The sequence below is a fragment of the Homo sapiens genome, chromosome 20, assembly GCF_000001405.40.
Source record: "Homo sapiens chromosome 20, GRCh38.p14 Primary Assembly".
NCBI lineage: Eukaryota > Metazoa > Chordata > Mammalia > Primates > Hominidae > Homo > Homo sapiens.
The window spans coordinates 74,022-97,094 of record NC_000020.11 but is presented as its reverse complement, the minus strand read 5'-3'; the positions used below and the strand labels follow the sequence as shown (position 1 = coordinate 97,094).

General features: G+C 37.7%; 1 protein-coding gene across 1 annotated transcript; it reads right to left on the bottom strand.

The window, feature by feature from the left end:
- On the bottom strand, window positions 1-9,423 carry DEFB125 (defensin beta 125). Its single transcript, NM_153325.4, has 2 exons — window positions 9,328-9,423; window positions 1-1,090 (listed from the first exon to the last, which is right to left on the bottom strand). The coding sequence occupies exons 1-2, from the start codon at window positions 9,383-9,385 to the stop codon at window positions 678-680; spliced, it is 471 nt and encodes a 156-aa protein (NP_697020.2). The 5' UTR covers window positions 9,386-9,423; the 3' UTR covers window positions 1-677.
- Window positions 9,424-23,073: the final 13,650 nt, after the last annotated feature.

The following is a 23,073-nucleotide window of genomic DNA, read 5'->3' as shown; positions in this document are numbered from 1 at the left end:
TAGAATTTGAGATGCAGCTTTTAATTTAATATGATGTACTCTCAAGGCAAGTCCCACTTTTATCTCTATCCAGTTAGATCAGTGCTTGTGTTGAATGAAAGAATTAGCTTCTGACTCTGTTAGTTACCAGCTAGAACCTTAAACAAAATTTGACGTCATGACACAGAAAAGTATTTAGGGTCAGAACTTACAATAAAAGGTGGAGGGTAGAGAAGGGAACATTCATCTGGAACTTTCTATATGCTTTTATATGTTCTCCTATATACGATAGTAGTGGGCCAGGCACTGTTAAAGTAAAAATTCTTGTCTTAGTCATAAGAGGCAGCTCCAAACAATGGTCTTCGTTTTTGTTTTTGGCATGGAAAAATACATAGATATACAAATGTTCACTTAAGACAAAAATTAGCTCATATATTTGAGTACATCGGAGGAAGACAGATAAAGAATTTAAGTCCAATTAAGAGAATCCTTGTATCTTCTATACATTTCTGTCTACACATTTCTAATTGTAAGGCAACTCTCTTGGCTGTTGTGTTGGTAGTAGCAATTATGTCCATCCCCATGGTCATCCAATCCCTGATGGAATTTTCCTGGTGAAATTGGATTGGTAGAATCAGCTCTTTGGATATTATTTCCAGCAGTATTTCTAGTTGTTCCATACCAGAAGTAAATGTTAATTAATTATGAGTAAGAGCTGTCTGAGAAGGTGGTGGCATAGTCTCGGAAGTAGCAGTCTCAGATGGTGGCATAGTAGTCTCGGGAGTAGTGGCCTCAGATGGTGGCATAGTAGTCTCAGGAGTATTGGTCTCAGGTGTCATGGTTTCTCCAAATTTAGTTGTGTCAAATGTTATCAGATCATTCAACATAGATACTGGGGAACCAGTAAAAGAGTCCACATCACTATAATCCAATGTTATATCCTCTAGGTGAATCACAGGAAATGCTGGTCGTCGAGTATATTCATGTGATATTATAGAAATGCAGCATGATAGCTTGTTCCTACAAAGAAGTATGTACCTTTCAGTATCTAAACATCGTCTTCTGCAATGTCCTACATTATTCTTCCAACATTTTTGGGGTTCAAAGCTACCTGTAGAGAATAAAATATAGGTCAAATTTTTAACTCTGGCATCAACATAACAACTTTTCATTCATTCAAAAATTTACACTGACTGACATCTAGACTAATATGATGTCAAATACAAAAAGCCATTGTAAGAGACAAACAGGAGAACAAAAAGTGTATATTAAAATTGTGCTATGTGCCATCAAAGAAGTTGTATGGAGAAAAGGAGAAATGTAGAAAAAGAGAGGGACGGAGAGAGAGAGAGCATACTGAGACTGATACGAAACCTAGAAAGAAAGGATGAAAATGAAAAGCCCAGGACCAGATGGATTCACAGCTGAATTCTACCAGATATACAAAGAAGAGCTGGTATCATTCCTACTGAAACTATTCACCCAAAATTGAGAAGGCAGGACTCCGCTTTAACTTATTCTATGAGGCCAGCATCATCCTGAGACCAAAACCTAGCAGAGACACAAGAAAAAAAAAATTTCAGGCCAGTATCCTTGATGAACATCAGTGCAAAAATCCTGAACAAAATAGTAGCAAACTGAATCCAGCAGCACATCAAAAAGCTTATCCACTACGATCAAGTAGCCTTTATCCTTGGAATGCAAGGTTGGTTCGACATATGCAAATCAATAAATGTGATTGCTTATGGATAGCATTTAAAGTACAGAAATTGGTAAACCATGGTGGGTTGGAATAATATGAGAAAAAAAGAGGACTAGAATTAAATTCTAGTGAGTTTCAATATTAAGAGATAAGAGATCAGATAAGAGGAAACGACTTAAAAGGACCAATAAGATAAGTCAGATCAAAACAGGAGAATAAGACTCTAGAGTCTTAAAGCAGACCCCCAGCAGAGCAGAGCTCCAGCAAAGATTTGAATATAATAGTTTAGTTGAGAGACAATTCCTCCTTAAAAAAAATCAGTGGAGAAATGTAGAAATCAGGAAAGCAAGAAATCCAAGAAAAGGTGAGTTATAACCTGTTATTATCATGAGATCATCTATCAACTGCTGGCCAGCAGGATGGCTGTGTTCTGTTTGCTCAGAGGACAATCCCACAGGGAAGCCCAGCAGCCAGGCTACAAATAAGCCTCAGACTCATGGATGAGCCTGGGGGACATGTTACATTCCGTTATGTGAAATAGACACAAAAAGATAAATACCACATGTTTTCATTCATAAGCAGGAGCTAAAAAAGTTGAGTTCATAGAAGTAGACTGTAGAATAATGATTACTAGAGGCTGGGAAGGGAAAGGAGGATAGAGAGAGGTTGGTTAACAGATAGAAAATTACACCTAGATAGGAGGAAAAAGTTCCAGCATCCTATAGCAGGGGTCCCCAACCCCTGGGCAGCCAATGGGTACTGGTCCATGGCCTGTTAGGAACCAGGCTGCACAGCAAAAGGTGAACAGCAGGTGTGCAAGCATCACCACCTGAGCTCCATCTCTTGTCAGATCAGCCAAGGCATTAGAGTCTCATAGGAGCATGAACCCTATTGTGAACTGTGCATGTGAGGGATCTAGGATGTGTGTTCCTTGTGAGACTCTAATGCCTGATGACCTGAGGTGGAACAGTTTCATCCTGAAACCATCCCCACCACCACCTTCACCTCGTCGAAAAAACTGTCTTCCACAAAACTGGTCCCTGGTGCCAAAAGGGGTCCACTGTTCTATAGCACTGTAGGGTGACGGTAGTTAACAATCATTTACTGTATATTTTCAAATAGCTAGAAGAGACGATTCTGAATGTTCCCAATATAAAAAAATGACAAATGTTTGAGGTGATAGATATGCTAATTACCCTGATTTGATCATTACACATTGTATACATGTATCAAAATATCACTCTGCATCTTCTAAATATGAACAATTATTACACATCAACTAAAAGTAGAAGAAAAAATAGCATTTAGTTTTTATTAAAAAAAAACCAAAAAACTTAAAAAAATGTTTAATTGGGCATCAGGTCCTGAAGGTGCAGTGTTACAGAAAAACCTTGAAGAATGAAAGGGTGCACAGTTACAGTAAAAACCTTGAAGAACTAACATCCATTTATGTTTTCTTCCCATAATAGCCTTGAACTGCAAATAAGGGAATTACCACAGGAAAAAAAAAATATTACCAAGCCTCAAAGTTATTCTACATGAGGCTCAAAGGACCTGGACTATTTATCCAGCTTCCCCCATAGTTGACAGATGATCCAGAGACAGCTGATAATTTTCTGGCATTTCTGGATTGCCCTGTACAGGGGTATTTCACAAGCAGTTGTTGAAAGACTGGAGATACTGACAATTGCAAGTTGGGCTGATATGCATGAAAACAGAAAATGCATAAAAGGTTATGGGGAAAGTTGTATCAGATGTGACTACATTAAGCAGGAGAGGAGACTGTTTCTTAAAGGACAGAGTGGTCATTTTGTAGTCAAATACTGCTGAGAGGTTAAAAAAAAATGATGAAGGCAGGAAAATGTCCATGCTTTTAGTAGTATGAAGGTAACTTCATACTGAGGAGAGCAGCTTCCGAGTGGTATGAAAAAAGAAACCAAATTGCAGTTGGTCAAAATGTGAATGAGAGAGAAGTGAATGCAGGACCTGTAGATGAAACTCTTAAGAAGTTTAGATCCAAAGAAAAGCAGAGAAATAAATAACTTGTTAGAGAGCAATGTAAGGTTAAGGGAAAGCTTTCAGGTTTGTTTTGAAGAACGAGAAATACCAAATGGTGCTTGCAAGCAATGAGAAAAGAGACAAGCAGTCTGGGCGCAGTGGCTCACACATGTAATCCCAGCACTTTGGGAGATCGAGGCGGGCAGATCACCTGAGTTCAGGAGTTCGAGACCAGCCTGGCCATGGTGAAACCCTGTCTCTACTAAAAAATACAAAAATTAGCTGGGCATGGTGGCGAGCACCTGTAGTCCCAGCTACTCAGGATGCTGAGGCAGGAGAATCACTTGAACCTGGGAGGCGAAGGTTGCAGTAAGCCAAGATTGTGCCACTGCATTCCAGCCTGGGCAACAAGAGCAAGACTCCATCTCAAAAAAAAAAAAAAAAAAGCAGAAAAGGAGAGATTAATATAGAATAGGGTGATGAGATGACAGAAGGGCATAGTCACAAATTCACACAGAGCAGACTGATCTTTAGATGGAGAAGACACGTTTCTCCATTTATGGCAAAGGGGACAGAGGAAATGAGTGAAAACTTCCTATTTGAATTGTTTAAATAAATGGGGCATGGGATAAACTGAGGGGGAGAGCCATGTAGAGGAGAGGAGCAGGAAAATAAAAGACAAATAAAGGTCAGGACAAAATAGTTGTCTAAAAAAGAGGGAAGATGGCTGGGTGTGGTGGTACAAACCTGTAATCCCAGCACTTTGGGAAGCCGAGGAGGGTGGATCACAGGGTCAGGAGATCGAGACCATCCTGGCCAACCTGGTGAAAACCTGTCTCTACTAAAAATATAAAAATTAGCTGGATGTGGTGGCACATGCCTGTGATCCCAGCTACTCGGGAGGCTGAGGCAGGAGAATCACTTGAACCAGGGAGTTGGCGGTTGCAATGAGCCGAGATTGGGCCACTGCAGTCCAGCCTGGTGACAGAGAAAGACTCTGTCTCAAAAAAAAAAAAAAAAGAAGGAAGGTTCATTTACAAGAGAAATGCAGTAGGATTTCCAAGCAGTGTGACTACTCATTTGAGGGGTGAGGATATAAATCTAAAGGGAAACTAGTGTGCTGCATTGTATGTTCATTTATCAAGCAGTAAACGGCATGATCATCTTTCTCAAGACAATTGCCCAAGGAGTACCTAGATAAGTGTATTCTAGGCAGAGGAAGCAGCTAGAGATAAGGCTCTATGGAGGAGGAAGCCTGGTATATGTGCAGAAGAGCAAGTAATTTTCTAAACAACCTTATTTGAACTTAATGTGATAATATATATAAAACATATATAGATGTATGTATGTATGTATATATTAGGCTCACAATAATTTGGTTTATATTTTATCCTCTGGGAAATGTTGGCTCTAGTCCAGCTTCACCAATTATTTATTCTACCTTCACTCCTCTAGAGTCATTTATTCTATCTTTGTTATTTTACTGGCTCGATTTTACTTTGTACTTCGTGGAATTTTCTATAAGTTTCAAGTCTAGACCTTCCACTTCTTTTGTGCAAGACAGACTCTAACCTTGCTTCTTCGTTCCTCACATCTACAAAGATTTATATCTTAATTTTTTTCCTCCAGCATTATCCATACTTGAAATATGTCATCTTGGCTCTCTTCTTCTCCTTTGTCTTTGAATCGCCTTGTTCTGTCAATTATTCTTCAAAATTGTTTCTCACTTACATTCCTTCCTACTGCTTTTAAATTATCCCCTCCATTCTTAAATTAGGCTATAGTCACACAGTCATCAAAGTTTTGGGCCCCTACTATGGCACAGGCACTATCCTGGGCCCTTGAGGTACATCTGTGAACTAAACAGACAAAAATCACATGGAGCTGACTTTCTAGCAGAGGGAGACAGATAATAAAAAGTAAATGCACTCCCTGCTAGACTGTATGGTTTTACAGACTTAAATCTAAGACCTGAAACTATGGAACTACCTGAAAAAAACATTAGGGAAACACTTCAGGACGTTGGTCTTGGCAAAGATTTCTTGGGTAAGACCTCAAAAGCACGGGCAACCAAAGCAAAAATAGGCAATTAGGATTACATCAAACTAAAAAGCTTGTGCACAGCAAAGGAAATAATCAACAAAGTGAAGATGTAGCCCACAGAGTAGGAGAAAATATTTGCAAGCTATCCATCTGACGAGGAATTAACAACAAAAAGTATATTAATATAAGGAGCTCAAAAAACTCCATAGCAAACAAAAACAAATAATCTGATTTTAAAACAGGCAAAAGATTTGAATAGACATTTCTCAACAGAAGACATACAAACAGCCATCAGGTATACATAAAAATATGGTAAAAACATGGTAAGGATGGTAATTTTTAAATGTATATTTTACCTTAATAAAAAAGTACATTATTTTGTAGATGAAAAGGTGACAAATGGTTTGCAGAAAGAAGGGAGAATAGATTTAAGGGTAATAGAAGATTCATAAACAGGAGTTGCACAAGCCTGTGTAACAAGGTGATGATTAAACAGCTTGAAGGAGGTAAAGGAATTAGTCACACCAGTATCTGAGGCAAGTACATTCTAGGCAGAGGAAACAAACAAAGCTCTATGGGTTGAGTAAGTCTGATATGTTTGGGGAAGAGCACTGGGGCTTGTGTGGCTGTAGTGGAGTGAACAAGGACTATAATAGTAGGAGATGAGGTGAGAGAGGTCATAAGGGCCAGATCCTGCAGGGCCAGGTGAGCCACTGTATGGACTCTTGTTACCGCTCTGAGTATAGAGGGGGCCATAGCAGAGTTTTGAGCAAAAGTACATGATCTGACTTCCAGTGTAAGCGGATCATGCACTATGTGTCTTCACAAGATGGTGGCAGGGAAGAGCAGAAGGACAGATCTCATGAGGAAGCTATGGCAATAACACAGGTGAGAGATGATGGTGACTAGAATCAGAGTGGCAGCAATGGAGGTGGCGAGAATAATTGCATTCTGGATATAATTTGCAGGCAGATGTAATAGACTTCCTGATAGATATGAGTGTCATAGGATATAGAAAAATCATAGATAATTCCAAGAATTTGGTTTTAGCAGTAGAATGATGGCAATTGGGAATAATTCATAATTTTTTTTTTCTAAAGTGACAACAGTCATTTTTTTCAAAGAACTTCAGTCTGGAACTATTATGTTGTTAGGACATGTGATCTTCATCACCAGTATCTCGAAATCCTAAAATTAGAAATATGACTAGCAATTGTATGTTTCTAAGTAGGGGAGCCATCTAGCCAAAACATTATCCCATGTGTGGAGTTCTTTCTAAAACATACCAGATATATAATCAGCTAGCATCAACTTAAAATATATCTATGGATACCAGTCCACTGATAGCTTGGCTTGGTAAAAAGTTGCTTCACAAGCCATCAGGTGCTATCTCACTTGAAAACACATAATATAAAGCCCAGAGAGACTAAATAGCTAAATTTCAAAACAAAACCTATAAGAGAACACAAAAATGAAAATCTCTAAATCAAAAGAAATGAAAACTACCTCTCCAAAATAAAAGAGAAAGAGAGACATAGACAATTTGTAGAAAAGTTAAATATACATTAAGCATGTATTTGAAGTTCGACTTCCCCATTACTCACAGACATAAATAAAAATTAAATATTTATATATAATATTTCATTTTTAGGACTTGGCAAGTATTCAAAAATTGATAACACATGAAGCAGACAGAAAAAAGTACATCTCCAGGAATTTTATGCTGAATGATTTATGTATAAGAAAGGTTATACTAGCCATCCTTGTCTATAAAATGTAAATGCACTTATTTATGCAAAAACAATTTGGCTAAGTAATTTAAACAGTATCCATTCTATAAAATTTATACAGTCATTGGAAATACAGTTTTTGAAAATAGTAAATGGGAAAATACTAATAGTATAATAGAAAATTTATAAGTATGCTATACATTTTTATTCAAATAAGAAAACTGAGGAAGAACAATAGATCAAAAATATTTTGTCTCTTTTAACTTCTTTACAATTTTTTTACTTCTTTACAATTTCAAAATTTCCAAATTTTCAACAAATACAGCAGTTTATAATCAGAAATGAATGTAGATATTAATTCTGTAACTCACATTACATCAACATGTGAATCAAGACATAACAGATCATAGGCACAGTTATAACCATTTAATAGACATGAATAGCATCTTTCTAGGCAACATATAACACCTCCAAATTTAACAAAAGCCAAATTTCTTAGTATATAAAGATAATTAAGAAAGTTTAGAAATCTAATGGACTGGATGTTCAAACTCATTTATAACTAAAGTGTCATGAATTCAAACATCAGGACATCATTTTCACATATTAGACTGTAAAACTGAATGTAGTAGAAAACTGAATGTAGTAGAAAAAACAAAAAGGACTGATGAGGGTGTGGGAAGCTGACACTCTTGCAACTGGTGATAGGAGAGAAGAATAGTTCAGCTTTTCTGGTAGGTGGTTTGACTGTGTGTGTGTGTGTGTGTGTGTGTGTGTCCACGTGTCCAGTCATAAATGAAAAGACATACATTTGTTTACAAATTTTTCTTGCTGAATTGTTTTTGATAATTAAAGACCTATTTTTCATCAGTAGCGGAGTAATTAATGTGAGGCAATTCATCTGCTCCTCCTCAAAGTTTTACTTATCGATTAAAAATAATGAACTAGGTTTATGTATGGATAAGATGTCTCTAATATATTGCTAGTACATTGCAGAACAATTCACATGGTGCATTTGCAATTGCATTTTTTAAAAATCTAAAAGGTATACACATGCAAATATAAATATATTTGTATTTGCTAGGATATATAAGAAATTGGTAACATTGATTGATTCTGAAGGGGAAGACTGAAGAACTGGTATTCTTGGACAGACAAACATTTTTCTTTTCCTTAAACCCTATAAATCCATCGATTGCTTGATACATAAGTCAATTGCAAGTATTATTTTTTAATAAAAAGTTAACAATTTTCAAAAGTAGCATTATTAAATAGTGGAAACAGACTGTTCCTATTCATCTAAAATTAGAAGCTCCCCATTGGTCACTAGTCTGTCTATCCTGTCTTCACTCCACTTATTTCCACTTCTACCCCAAACATATATATTGTCTCTTCCATATGATAGTGCTACAGAATCTACAAACTGTCAATGGACTTGTTCACCATATCTAAGAACATGAAAGTGAGGGCCTCCCTCTGAAGGTACCCTCCGGGCAAAGAAGAATTCAAGATGGTAGGAGAACTAATAGGACACAACAATGAAATAGATACAACAGAATAATCGAAATGGAAGTGAAGTGAGGCTGAACTAACATTGGATAGTTATGTAGAGAGACAGATAGGGTGGCTCAGAGCATTAAGGAAATTCTTGTCTTTGGAGAAATGCCTCAGAGGACATCCCAGCTTGCTAGATGCCCCTAACAGAAAGATTCTCAGAGACTAGGGGCATGGAGCTGCCAAAATAAGAGCATTCTGCTGCTCTTTGTTGGCCCAGATTTTTCCTGCAGATTCCCTCTCTTCCCATCATGATACCAGGGGAGCCCAAGGGCAACAACTCATCCTAGTCATCATCTCTGCTTTATAGGGTTCCATTACCTTTGGTCACCCGAGTTAGCAACCCACAGATAATGAAGGTCAGCATCAGGATATTCATGGCTCCTGGGAGAGAGGAAGCTCTGTGTCCTGAGGAATACAGAACACTGCACAGCAAGGAATTTAAGTGGTCACCTTTACTGGTCTATCATGGGTGATGAACCAGAGAAGGGGAAAATGCCATGCCACCCAGATCACCAGACCATTAATTTGCAACACTGAGTGTGCATGACACAATAACGTCTGCTTCTAGAAATTATTAAAGAAAGCTGAGGCCTTATGAGATAAGCTATTATCCCGTAGAACTGTAAGGTCTGATGGAAAGAAACAGCCCCAAGAGGAAGTTTTTGTTAACTTTAGATGGGCTCAATTGTCCTTCTCCTCTGTCTGTATGCAGCACTTTGTACATACCCAATGACAGCAGAATGGTGTGTAAAGATATCACTTGTGGCAGTTCAATAGCTTACAACATCCGGTATTCACCTTTTCTTCTGAGTGATCACCCCGATATGAATTCCTGTGAAACAAGAAAGACACTTTTTAACTAATAAGTTCATAAGATTCCATCAATTATGAGACAGAAGGAATTTGGAATGAAAATAGTGAAAACAGGAAAACAGGTTTTATTGGTGCTCTTCTTTTTCCCGTTCCGCTGTCCCATCAACTCTTTTCCCTCATTCAGAAATACAAATAAGAAATGAAATATTGAGAGAGAGGAAACATTTTAAAAGGAGAGGGAGAGAGAAAGAGAGAGAGGAGAGAGGCCCAATGTAACATTATGCCCCCCATCCCCACTACCAAAGGAGAAAAATATAGGAGACATTTGTGAAATTGCCCAGTAGGAGTGATCAGCATTTTATCTCCTGGAAGAGTTTGCTGAGCTGTATTTCTCCCACATATGTTTAATACCAAGGAAATCAGGAAAATTTTAAAAAAATTTTCTAAACAGCTGCACTGTTTAGAAAAAAAACTGCAGCTCACTGCCCATGTTCATTTAATTTTACATTAACATGCTCTGGAGGCTGACTGATGTTCAGTGTGAAAATAAAATATACAAACTGTTCTTGGAATTATTTTTAAACAGAACTAACATCAGAATCATCTGAATAATCAGAATCATCTATTTTGGAAAAAACCGGATTCATTAAATGACTCTTTGGCCCAAAACTGTTTGAGAACAATGTTAACATGGGAATGCTATGCTTTCTAGAATTTGACATTTTCAGCGATCAAGAATTTCTATATTTTGTAAATGGAAATACCACTGCTAACAACAAGATGCTATAAATAGAATGATGATTTGTGTTTTCAAAGTCGATATATTAGAACGATGTGAAAATAATAATAAAGGCGAGATATTTTGTGGCAAAGTTATCTCAGGGTAAACCCTGCAGCTGCAAGTGCCACCAGCGAGTATTCTGGGTGAAAATGGGAAAAGGGTTAAAAATGCAGGATGGCCAAAGCCATCCTAAGCAAAAAGAACAAAACTAGAGGAATCACATTACCTCACTTCAAATTATACTACAAAGCTATAGTAACCAAAACAGCATGGTACTAGTATAAAAACAGACACATAGAGCAATGGAAAAGAATAGAGAACACAGAAACAAGTCCACACATCTACAGTAAACTCATTTTTGACAAAGTTGCCAAGAACATACTTTGGGGGAAAAACAGTCTCTTTAAAAAATGGTGCTGGGAAAACTGGATATCCATATGCAGAATAATGAAACTAGACCCCTGTCTTTCACCATATACAAAACATTAAGTCAAATGGATTAAAGACTTAAAGCTAAGATCTCAAACTATGAAACTACTATAAGAAACTGGGGAATCTCTCCAGGATGTTTGGACAAAAATTTCTTGAGTAGCAACCCACAAACAAAGGCAATCGAAGCAAAAATGGACAAATGGGATCACATCAAGTTAAAAAGCTTCTGCACAGCAAAGCACACAATCAACAAAGTGAAAAGACAACCCACAGAATGGGAGAAAATATTTGCAAACGACCCTTCTGACAAGGGATTAATAACAGGAAATACAAAGAGCTCAAACAATTCTATAGGAAAAAAATCTAATGATCCAACTTAAAAATGGGCAAAGTATCTGAATAGATATTCTCAAAAGAAGACATACAAATGGCAAACAGGCAGATGAAAAGGTGCTCAAAATCACTGATCATCAGAGAAATGAAAATCAAGCTACAATGGAATATCATCTCACTCCAGTTAAAATGGCTTTTATCCAAAAGACAGGCAATAGCAAATGCTGGCAAGGATTTGGAGAAAGGGAAACCCTTGTATGCTACTGGTGTGAACGTAAGATAGTACAACCACTATGGAGAACAGTTTGGAGGTTCCTAAAAAAACTGAAAATAGAGTTACCATACAATCCAGCAATCCCACTGCTAGGTACACACTCCCCTCCAAAAGGAAATAAGAATATTGAATAGATATCTGCACACCTGTGCTTGTTGCAGCACTATTCACAATAGCCAAGATTTAGAAGCAACGTAAGTGTCAATCAACAAATGAGTGGATAAAGAAAATGTGGAACTTATACACAGTGGAGTATTATTCAGCCATAAAAAAGAAAGAGATGCTGTCATTTGCAATAACATGGATGGAACTGGAGGCCATTATGCTAAGTGAAATAAGCCAGGAACATAAAGACAAATATTGCATGTTCTCACTTATTTGTGAAATCTAAAAATCAAAACTACTGAATTCAAGGGAGATAGAGAGTAGAAGGATGGTTATCAGAGGCTGGGAAAGGTGGTGGGCGTGTGTGGGAAGGTGAGGATGGTTACTGGGTACAAAAAATAGTTAGAAAGAATGAATAAGACCTGGTATTTAATAGCATAACGAGGTGACTATAGTCAAAAATAATTTAATTGTACATTTTAAAATAATAAAGTATAATTAGATAATTTGTAACACAAAGGATAAATGCTTGAGGGGATGGATACCCCATTTTCCATGATGTGGTTATTATGCATTGCATGCTTGTATCAAAACATCTCATGTACCCCACAAATATAGACACCTACTATGTACCTACAAAAGATAAAAATTTAAAAAAATGCAGGGTGGTGTATTTTGGCAGGAGATAATACAGACTTACCCTTAGTATATTTATAGTTTTGCTGAGTTTTGTTTTGTTTTTGAAAAACAGGGAATCTCTAATGTTCTCATCTGTCAGAGATGTAGCGGTGAAGTTGGAGAAGTGAGTTTAAAAAGTAGAAGCTATAAAGGAAAACCAGGAGCTTGATTAAGAATTTTCTGTGGAGATAAGAAAAGTGACTCTCCAATTGAGAGATGCAAGATGATCTGCCAAAGTCAGAGATCATAAAGAGGTTGTCAGAAAAATGCATAGCAGCATGTGGGTGCTCTTGGGCCACTCAAGCACCACCTACTTGAGAATACCACCAACCTGTGAGAATGACTTCCAAGGACAATGGCCACAGAGCCTTCCTTCCTTAGACTAGCTCAGCCAAGTCAGAGATGGATACCCCACCTCTGTGCATCTGGTTTTGTTAGTGTACATATTCTCTACTCTGCCATGGGTAGATACTCTGCCATTGGAGTATTGGGGTAGGGTAAGGTGACATAAGGATAAGGGGAGATGGAGAGAGAAGGTCTATATGGTGCTTTTTAGATTTTGTGTCAGTAGGAAAATAATTATTAGTGATTTTAGTAATCTCCCTGAAAAAACAATAGAATTAACTATTTGAAAACCAATGGAAATAGAATCTTGGGACCAAGAAAAGTAGATTCAGCTATAAAATAGATTTCATGCTTGCACAGTTTGCATCAATTTTGCTATCACTGCACTTCTCTCTTTTTGAAATTTCTGTATTTTAAATAAATTTTTAAAATCTTATCACCCTTGGCCGGTTGCAGTGGCTCACACCTGTAATCCTAGCACTTTGGGAGGCTGAGGCTGGCGGATCACCTGAGGTCAGGAGTTCGAGACCAGCGTGGACAACATGGTGAAACCCTGTCTCTACTAAAAAATACAAAAATTAGCCGGGCGTGGTGGTGGGCACCTCCAATCCCATCTACTCAGGAGGCTGAGGCAGGAGAATCGCTTGAACCGGGAGGCGAAGGTTGCAGTGAGCCAAGATTGCACCATTGCACTCCAGCCTGGGTGACAAGAGTGAAATTCCGTCTCAAAAAAAAAAAAAAATCTTATCACCCTTCTTCATTAGCCTGTATTGTGTATTGTTTATATTTCTCTGTGGGCTGTAATCAGATCAGAGGCAGAGGCACACGCTAAATGTTAAAAGTTGCTTTCATCCTGAGTTATATATTTATACAGATGTATCTCATCAGTGTCTTGGAAAGGACCTTCTAGATAATCTTAGATTGGATATCAAATATAGAGAATGGATATCAAATGCACAGCATAGCATAAAATCTTCACTGAGGCACAGCATACATGGTTGACCTGCCCATTTCTGTTGCTGATGTGTGGGCATCCCTGTTTAATCACAGAACTCCTTCTTACTGAGGCTGAGCCTAAGTTCAGAATCCTTTCCAGAATCCTTTCCAGGAAAGTTGGTGTCTTTATCATCTATAATCTAAGCCCAACCTCTACTTTACAGATGGAGGAACTGAGGCCGACATAAAGGTCTCAGTGTGATCCTCTAATGTGATCCAGGTTGTCAACATAAGCCGTGTCCAGAGAGACAATCTAATTCTAACTGCTCGTTTTATAAAAGAGCACATTTGGTCCTCAAGAAGGAAAATGGTTTGCCCCAAAGTAAAGTAATACGCCCAAGGTCACACAGTTAAAGAGCATGAAGCAAGACTTTTTCATTCCAATGGAGAAAATTATCTGCCCATATAAGGGGGAAAAAAACCCAGAAGGAAGAAGCAATGATAACAGCAGAGAATGTCCAGAAGTTACCACAGTGTTCTGAGAAAGGATCACACCAGTGACTTTTGTGCGTTCGTAGTGGTGGTAGCATTCGTAATCATGATCGTGTTCTCATCTCTAGAATGCATCTGCCCTCCAGGAAGACCATTAAGGGGCTGATATTACCAAATGTTTGAGTATAAGCTATTTGAAATCTGAAGATTGGGTGGTGTCTGAGTCTGAGACAGCTTCAGATAAAAATGTTTCTTTCTTTTGCTTTTTTAATTAAAAAAATGGTTTTAATCAGTCTGGGGTTGGGGAACACTTCTTATAAATGGAACAAAGATAAGAAGGATAGAAGGCATCATTACAAATAAGGCAATATGAAAGATATTGGAATGAAATTTTTAATACAAAAAAGGGGAAAAACTTGTAATTTAGAATTTTTATGCCCAGTGAGAATATATGTCAAATATGAATACAAAATAAAGATATTTTCAGGCAATAAAAGCAGAGAATGTTCATCACTAACATACCTTCACTGCAAGAAATGTTGATGAAAGTTCTTTTTTTTTTAACTTTTATTTTAGGTTCAGGGGATACACATGCAGGTTTGTTACATGGGTAAATTGCTTGTCACTGGGTTTGGTGTAAAAATGATTTTGTCACCCAGGTAGTGAGCATAGTACCTGATAGTTTTGGTTTGTTAGTTTGTTTGTGATGGAGTCTTGCCCAGGTAATTTTTGTATTTTTAGAAGAGACAGGGTTTTGCCATGTTGCCCAGGCTGGTCTCAAACTCTTGAGCTCAAGCAATCCTCCTGCCTGAGCCTCCCAAAATGCTGGTATTACAGGTGTGAGCCACCATGCCCAGCCTATTTCTCCTTCTTTTATGAAGCTTAGTTTTGCAGGATATGGAATTCTTCACTGAAATTTCTTTTCTTTAAGGATGCTAAAAATAGGCCCCTAATCTTGCTTGGTTTGTAAGGTTTCTGCTGAGAAGTCTGCTGTTAGTCTGATGAGCTTCCCTTCATAAGTGACCTCAGGCTTTTCTCTAGCTGCCCTTAAGATTTTTTTCTTTCACGTTGACCTTGGAGAATCTTATGACTATGTGTCTTGGGGATAGTTATCTTGTAGTTATCTCACAGGGGTTATTTGCATTTCTTGAATTTGCATGTCAGCCTCTCTAGGGAGATTGGGGAAATTTTCATGGACTATCCTCAAATATGTTTTCCAAGTTACTTATTCTTTCTCCTCTTTCAGGAATGCCCATAAGTTGTAAGTTTGGTATCTTTACATAATTCCATATTTTTTTAGAGGTTTTATTTTTAAATTTTTTTCTTTAGTTTTGTCTGACTGTGTTGATTCAAAGGACTGATCTTTGAGCTCTGAGATTCTTTCCTCAACTTGATCTATTCTGTTGTTAATGCTTCTGAATGTATTACAAAATTCCTATAATGAATTTGTCAATTGCAGAAGTTTCTTTTGGTTCTTTCTTAAAATGGCTATGTTATCTCTGTACTCTTGGATTGCTTTACTGGCTTCCTTGGACTGGGTTTCAACTTTCTCCTGAATGTTCTTGAGCTTCCTTACCTTCCAGATCATGAATTCTATGTCTGTCATTTCAGCCATTTCAATCTGATGAGAGCTAGTATGATTGTTTGGAGGTAAGGAGACATTCTGACTTTTTGAATTGCAAGAATGTGTGCTGATTCTTTCTCATCTAAGACAGCTGGTGTTACTTTATCTTTTTGAAGTTACTATCATTTGGTTTTGACTTTTTGTTTTATTCTTCTTCATTTTCCTTGATATTTTGACAGTGATGTATGTTGAATATAGCTGGCTTTTTTCTGGGTGTTTTCAGAGGGCCAAGTCTCTATGCCAGGTGTTTATTTTTGACTATGTTCCTGCATTGGGTTTCACTGGTAATGTATGCTGAAACAGTATTTGTTTGGCGGTGTAATTCAGGCTGCAATCCAGTGGGCAGTGCTTAATAGTAAAGGCCAGCAGATAGGCTCTTAGCCACACTTAGCTTAAGATTAGGTCCCGATGTGTGATGTTCCCCTTCCTGTGTCCATGTGTTCTCATTATTCAATTCCCACCTATGAGTGAAAACATGCAGTGTTTGGTTTTTTGTCCTTGTGATAGTTTGATAGTTTGCTGAGAATGATGGTTTCCAGCTTCATCCATGTCCCTGCAAAGGGCATGAACTCATCATTTTTTATGGCTGCATAGTATTCCATGGCACCAGGGCCTGTTGTGGGGTGGGGGGAGGGGGGAGGGATAGCATTAGGAGATATACCTAATGTTAAATGACGAGTTAATGGGTGCAGCACATGAACATGGCACATGTATACATATGTAACCTGCACGTTGTGCACATGTACCCCAAAACTTAAAGTATAAAAAAAAAAAAGATTAGGTGACCAGGAGACCTGCAGCTCCCCTGGGGCCCAGTGGTTGTCTGTGCTTGGCAGAGTCAGCGTGGGCTGTGAAGTATATCTGCAAGTGGTCTGTTGATTCAGGATCAAGGGCAGAGGATCCTGGGCATGGCAGTGTTGCTGTGGGTGTGCAGCTGGTCTAGCACCTGCGACCTAGGGTTTCTTGCCAAGCAGATGACTGTGGGGACCACTCAGCTCAGGCTCCCTGACCAGGTTTCTTTCCAGCATTTGCCCCATAGCTGGCCCAACCAGCTAGTTTTGTCTCAAGCCTTCTGCACCCAGATCACTGGTCTGTCAGTTTTTCCCGGACACAAGGCTCCCTTAGGAAGATGTTGTGGCTGACAAACAGGTTACACCTTTCCCTCACCAGTCTTGTAGAGAGAAGCACATCGAGCTCCTGTACCAGCCCAGAAACCCATGCCTCACTTTTCTCAGTGTTCTGAGAGTGGGAGCTTCTCCCCTACTCAGGCCCTGGCCACAGATCTCAGCCCAATATTCCAACTTGTGTGTTCAAACATTTGGGAGTTGGGACCACGCCCAAGGCTTTGTTCTCTGGCCCCTCGTGGTCCAGCACCATTTGTGCCAGGGGGGACAAAGTGCTTCCAGGCCACTGGCAAAGTACTCAGGTGTAGCAGTAGAGGCTGTGCTGTGTGCACACAAGAGTGGCCAGGGTGGAGCCTCGGGATCGGTTGGATAGTGGTGTGCACAGATCAGACACACCCAGGTCCCATGAGGAAGTTAGCTCTGCTCTCTCCCTGCCCAGCAGTCAGCAAGGGCTAGAGCCACTCTGAGCAAGATGGAGAGCCTGCCTTGGTGGATGGGCACCTATGGTTGTGTTTTGCTGCAACTGTCCCACTCACAAAACCTGGGCTCTGCACAGGCTTGAGCTCTGCATCTGCCTACTCTCCAGGCAGCTCCCCCTGTCAATTCAAACGTTCATGTGGGTGATGGGATCTCTTAAAGCTAGGATCCCAGAGGTCCATGGTGGGAGTGTGTCACCTGGCAGTTCCTTCACTCTCTCCTTCCTTACCACCTGTTTAGGGCCAGGATCTGGTCCTGGCACTCAGCAACTCTATAGGGTTCCAAGCTTCCTTCCTCTTCCACCTCTGGATCTGAGTCACCTCTCTATTAACTTTCAGTTTTTTCTCTTAAAAATTCTGTTCAAAGTGGGATAGTTTACTCAATATTTTGGTTTCTCTCAGTAGGAGAGGCACTTCTCCCAGCTGTGTCTGGTTGGCTGTCTTATCCCCCACTTTTGACATTTTAACAATATTAATTCTTCCAATTCATGAATGTGAAATATTTTTACATTTATTTGTGTCTCCAATTTCTTCAATGTTTTCTAAGTTTCTGTGAACAGATCTTTTATATCCTTGGTTAAATTATTTCTAAGAATTTTTTGTACCAATTGTAAATAGTTTCTCTTGATTTCTTTTTCAGATTGTTTTATTGTACTGAAATTCTGCTGATTTTAGCATATTGATTTTGTAACCTGCAACTTTACTGAATTTGTTTATTAGTTCTAACAGGTTTATTTGGTGGAGTCTTTAGTGTTTTCTTTATACAAGATCATGTGTTCTGAAGCAGAGACCATTAACTTCTTCCTTTCTGATTTGGATGACCTTTCTTTCTTTCTTTTGTCTAATTGCTCTGGCTAAGACTTTCAGAACTATGTTGAAAATAAGTGGTAAGAATGAGCATTCTTGTATTATTCTTGATCTTGGAGGAAAAGCTTTCAACTTTTCACCTTTGAGTATGATATCTGTGTTCTTGTCATATAAAGCCTTTATTGTGTTGAGGTACATTCTATATTTATTTGTTGAGAATTTTTATCATGAAAAGATGCTGAATTTTGTTAAATGACTTTTTTGCATCTATTGAATGATCATGTGGTTTTTGTCCTTCATTCTGTTAATGTGGTGCATTGCAGTTATTGACTTACATATGTTGAACCATCCTTGCATACCAGGGACAAGTCCCACTTGACCATAATGAATAATCTTTTTAATGTGCTGCTGAATTCAGTACACTGGTATTTGCTTGAGTATTTTTGCATTTATATTTGTCAGGGATATTGGCCAGTAATTTTCTTTTCTTGTAGTATCCTTATCTGGCTTTGGTATCATGGTAATGCTGGCTTTGTAAAATGAGTTTGGAAGTATTCCCTCCTCTTCAATTTTCTGTAAGAGTTTAAGAAGAATTGATATTAGTTCTTTTTTAAGGGTCTGGGATAATCCAGTCATGAAACCATGTGATTTTCGGCCTTTCTTTGATGGTAAACTTTTTATTACTGATTCAACCTCCTTAGTTGTTATCAATCTGTTCAAGTGTTCTGTTTCTTTATGATTCTGTCTTGATGGTTGTGTGTTTCTAGGAGTTCATTCTTTTCTTCTAGGTTATCCAATTTGTTGGTGTACAATTGTTTATTGTAGCCTCTTAAGATCTTTGTATTTCCACGGTACTAGTTGTAATGTGTCCATTTCATTTCTGATTTTATTTGAGTCTTCTCTCTTTTATCTTAGTCTGGCTAAAGGTTTGTCAATTTTACTTATCTTTTTAAAAACTTAATACTTAATTTGTTGATCTTTTCTACTGTTCTTCTAGTGTTTATTTCATTTATTTCTGTTCTGATCTTTGTTATTTCCTTCCTTCTACTAACTTTGGGCTTAGTTTGTTCTTTTTTTAGTTCCTTGATGTGTAAAGCAGGTTTGTTATTTAGATTTTTTTTTTTTTTTTGGATGAAGGAATTTGTTGGTATAAACTTTCTTCTTAAAACTGCTTTTGCTACACCCCATAAGTTTTGGTATGTTGGGTCTCTATTTTTGTGTGTCTGTGGATAGTTTTAAATTTTCTTTGTAATTTATTCTATAATGCATTAGTTGTTCAGGAGAATGTTGTTTAATTTCTACATATATGTAATTTTCACAATATTTCTATAATCATTAATTTCTAGTTTCATACCAATGTGGTCAGAAAAAAATAGTTGATATGATTTCAGTCTTCTTATTTGTTGAGACTTGTTTTGTGGCCTAACATATGACTTATGCTGGATAATGATTCATGAGCAGTTCAGAAAAACATGTATTCTGCTGCATTTGGATCTACTGTTCTGTCTGTTAGGTCCATTTGGCCTAAAGTGTAGTTTAACTCCATTGTTCTCTTTCTGATCTTCTGCCTGGACGATCTGTTCATTGTTGAACATGGCATATTGACGTCCCCTACTATTATTGCATTGCCATCTATTTCTCCCTTCAGATATATGGATATTTACTTTCTGTATCTAATTGTTCTGATGTTGTATGCATAAATATTTTCAATTGGCATGTGTTCTTGATAAATTGACCCCTTGTCATTATATAACAACCTTCTTTGTATCTTTATATAATTTGTGGCTTAATATCTATTTTATCTGATGTTAAGTATACCTACCCATGCTCTCTTTTGATGTCCATTTGCATGGAATATTTTTCCATCTCTTCACTTTCAACCTATGTGTGCCCTTCAAGGTGATGTGAGTCTCTTGTAGGAGATATATAGTTGGGTCTTTAAAAAAAATTCATTTAGCCACTCTATGTGATTTTATTGGATAATTTAATCCATTTACATTCAATGTAATTATTGATAGATTAGGACTACTGCTGCATTGTTAATTGTTTTCTAGTTGTTTTGTAGATCTTTCATTCCTTTCTTGCTATTTTGCTACCTTCCTTTGTAGTTTGATGATATCCATAGGGCATAATTTAAAGCCTTTTTTTTTTTTTTTGAGATGCAGTTTCACTCTTGTCGCCCAGGCTGGAGTGCAATGGCGCAATCTCAGCTCACTGCAACCTCCACCTCCTGGGTTCAAGCGATTCTCCTGCCTCAGCCTCCCAAATAGCTGGGAATACAGGCACCTGCCACTGTGCCCAGCTAATTTTTGTATTTTTTGGTAGAGATGGGGTTTCACCATGTTGGCCAGACTGGTCTTGGACTCCTGACCTCAGGTGATCCACCTGCCTTGGCCTCCCAAAGTGCTGGGATTTCAGGCATAAGCCACCATGCCTGGCCTAAAACCTTTTTTAAAAAGATCTTTTCTGTATTTGATATAGATTTTGCTTGTGGTTACTATGAGGCTTATATAAAATACACTTATAACAGGCTATTTTAAACTGATAGCAACTTAATTCTGACCACATTAAAGACTCTATACTCTTATTCCACCCCCATTTTTTATGTTTCTGATGTCACAATTTGCATCTGTTTATATTGTGTATTCCTTAACAAATTATTGTAACTATAATTATTTTTAATAGTTTTATTTTTTAGCCTTCATGCTAAGTATATGTGATTTGCATACCACCATTTCAGTATTAGAATATTTTGAATTTGGCTATGTACTTACTCTTACCAATGAGTTTTATACTTTCATATGTTTTCATGTTAATAATTAGCATCCTGTTCTTTCAGCTTACTATTTCTTGTAAGGCAGGTCTAGTGGTGATGAACTTCCTCTGCTTTTTTTTTCTGAGAAAATCGTTATTCTCCTTCATTTCTGAAGTATAGCTTTGCCAGGCAATGTATTCTTGATTGGTAGTTTTTTTTTTTCTTTCAGCACTTTGAATAAAAAAAATGCTACTTTTTCTTGGTCTGCAAGGTTTCTGCTGAGAAATCTAGTAATAACCTTATTTAAATCCCCTTATATTTGATATTTGATATGCTTCTTTCTTCTTGCTGGTTTCAGGAAACTTGTGTCTTTGATTTCTCTTCCCCCTTTGATTTTTGACCATTTGATTATGTCAGCGTAGTTTGATTGAATCTGAATGGAGACCTTGGATCTTATTGTACCTGAATATTTATATCTTTCCCCAGATTTGGAAAGTCTTCTGCTATTATTTTTTAAAATAAGTTTTCTGCTCCTTTATCTGTCTTCTCTTTCTTGAATCTTATAATTTGAGTATTTGCTCTTTTGATGCTGTCCCACAAATTCCATAAGCTTTCTTCATTCCTTTTCATTTTTCCCCTCTGTATATTTTTAATTAAACTATAAGTTCACAGATTCTTTCTTCTGTTTAAATAAGTCTGCTGTTGATACTCTGTATTGCATTTTCCATTTCATTCATTGTACCCTTCAGCTCAAATATTTCTTCTTTTATGACTTCAGTGTCTCTGTTGAATTTCTAATTTTATTTGATTATTATTTTCCTGATTTTTATTGCATTGTTTGTATTTTCTTGAAGTCACTCGGTTTCTTTGTCATGCCGTTCATATATCTCCATTTCTTTGTGGTCAGCTACTGGTAAATTATTGTAATCTTTTGATGGTGATATGTCTCCTTGTTTTTTTATGTTTCTTGTTTCCTTATGTGATATTTGAGCATTTAATGAAATAGTCACCCCTTGCAGATTTTATAGGCTGGATTTGCTTTGGAAAGTCCTTCCTTTGTGGGTGTGAGGTTACTTGCTGGGTGAGGTGGTACGATTCTGACAACAGTGATGGTGCAACTATGTCAGCTGAGTTCAGTGTTGATGATAATTGCAAGTGCCCTCAGCAGTCAATACTGTGCATATCTGTGGTGGCAACAAGGGCTGTTTTGAGTCTTCAGTGGTAATGGCTGCTCCTGATCTCTTTCTCTCCCACCAGGAAATTGTCACTGAGGGGTTCTCTCATGGCATTGGTCTAGCTCATGGTAGCAGTGACATCATTGTCTAATAAGTGGTGCTTGTGGAGTAACTTCAGAGCTGAGGCTTGAAGCATGGACACACATGGAAGGGATAAGGCTCTGTATTCCAGAGCAGTAATAGCACTGATGCCTGGGGTGCTGGCATTCTGACTGCTGCATTGGTAATGATATGTGAGGTACAAGTGTTTGTAGTGAAGCCAGGGAACTGAGGATAGCAGCAGAGAATGTATAGAGTTTCAATGGTTCCAGGGTCTATAGTGATAGCCACAGTTTCATTGCTGATATTGGTGAATTGAGAATTTTTCAATATCATTGATTTCTAAGGAACCAGCTTTTTATGTTTTTCTTGTTTTCTTGTTCTTCATTTTATTTGTTTCTGCTCTTATATTTATTATTTTATTTCTTCCGCTTGCTTTGGGTTATTTTGCTCTTTTTTTCTAGTTTTGAGATAGGATCTTAGATTATTGGAATATTTCTTTTTTATAATAAGTGTTTAGTGCTATAAATTTTCTTCTAATTACCTCTTTAGCTGTAGCCCACATACTTTGGTAGAGTCTATTTTATTTTTTATTCGGTTCAAACGTATTTTTACTTTCTTTGAGACCTCCTGTTTGTCCCATGGATTATGTAGAAGTGTGTTTTATGATTTCCCAAGAGTTTGGAGAATTCCTGTTTATAGTGTTGTTCAGTTTTTCTGTATTCTTGCTGTGTACTACTTCTATCAACTGTTGAGAGTTGGATGTTAAAATCCTAAGTAGAATTGTGGATTTTTTCTATTTCTACTTTCAATTC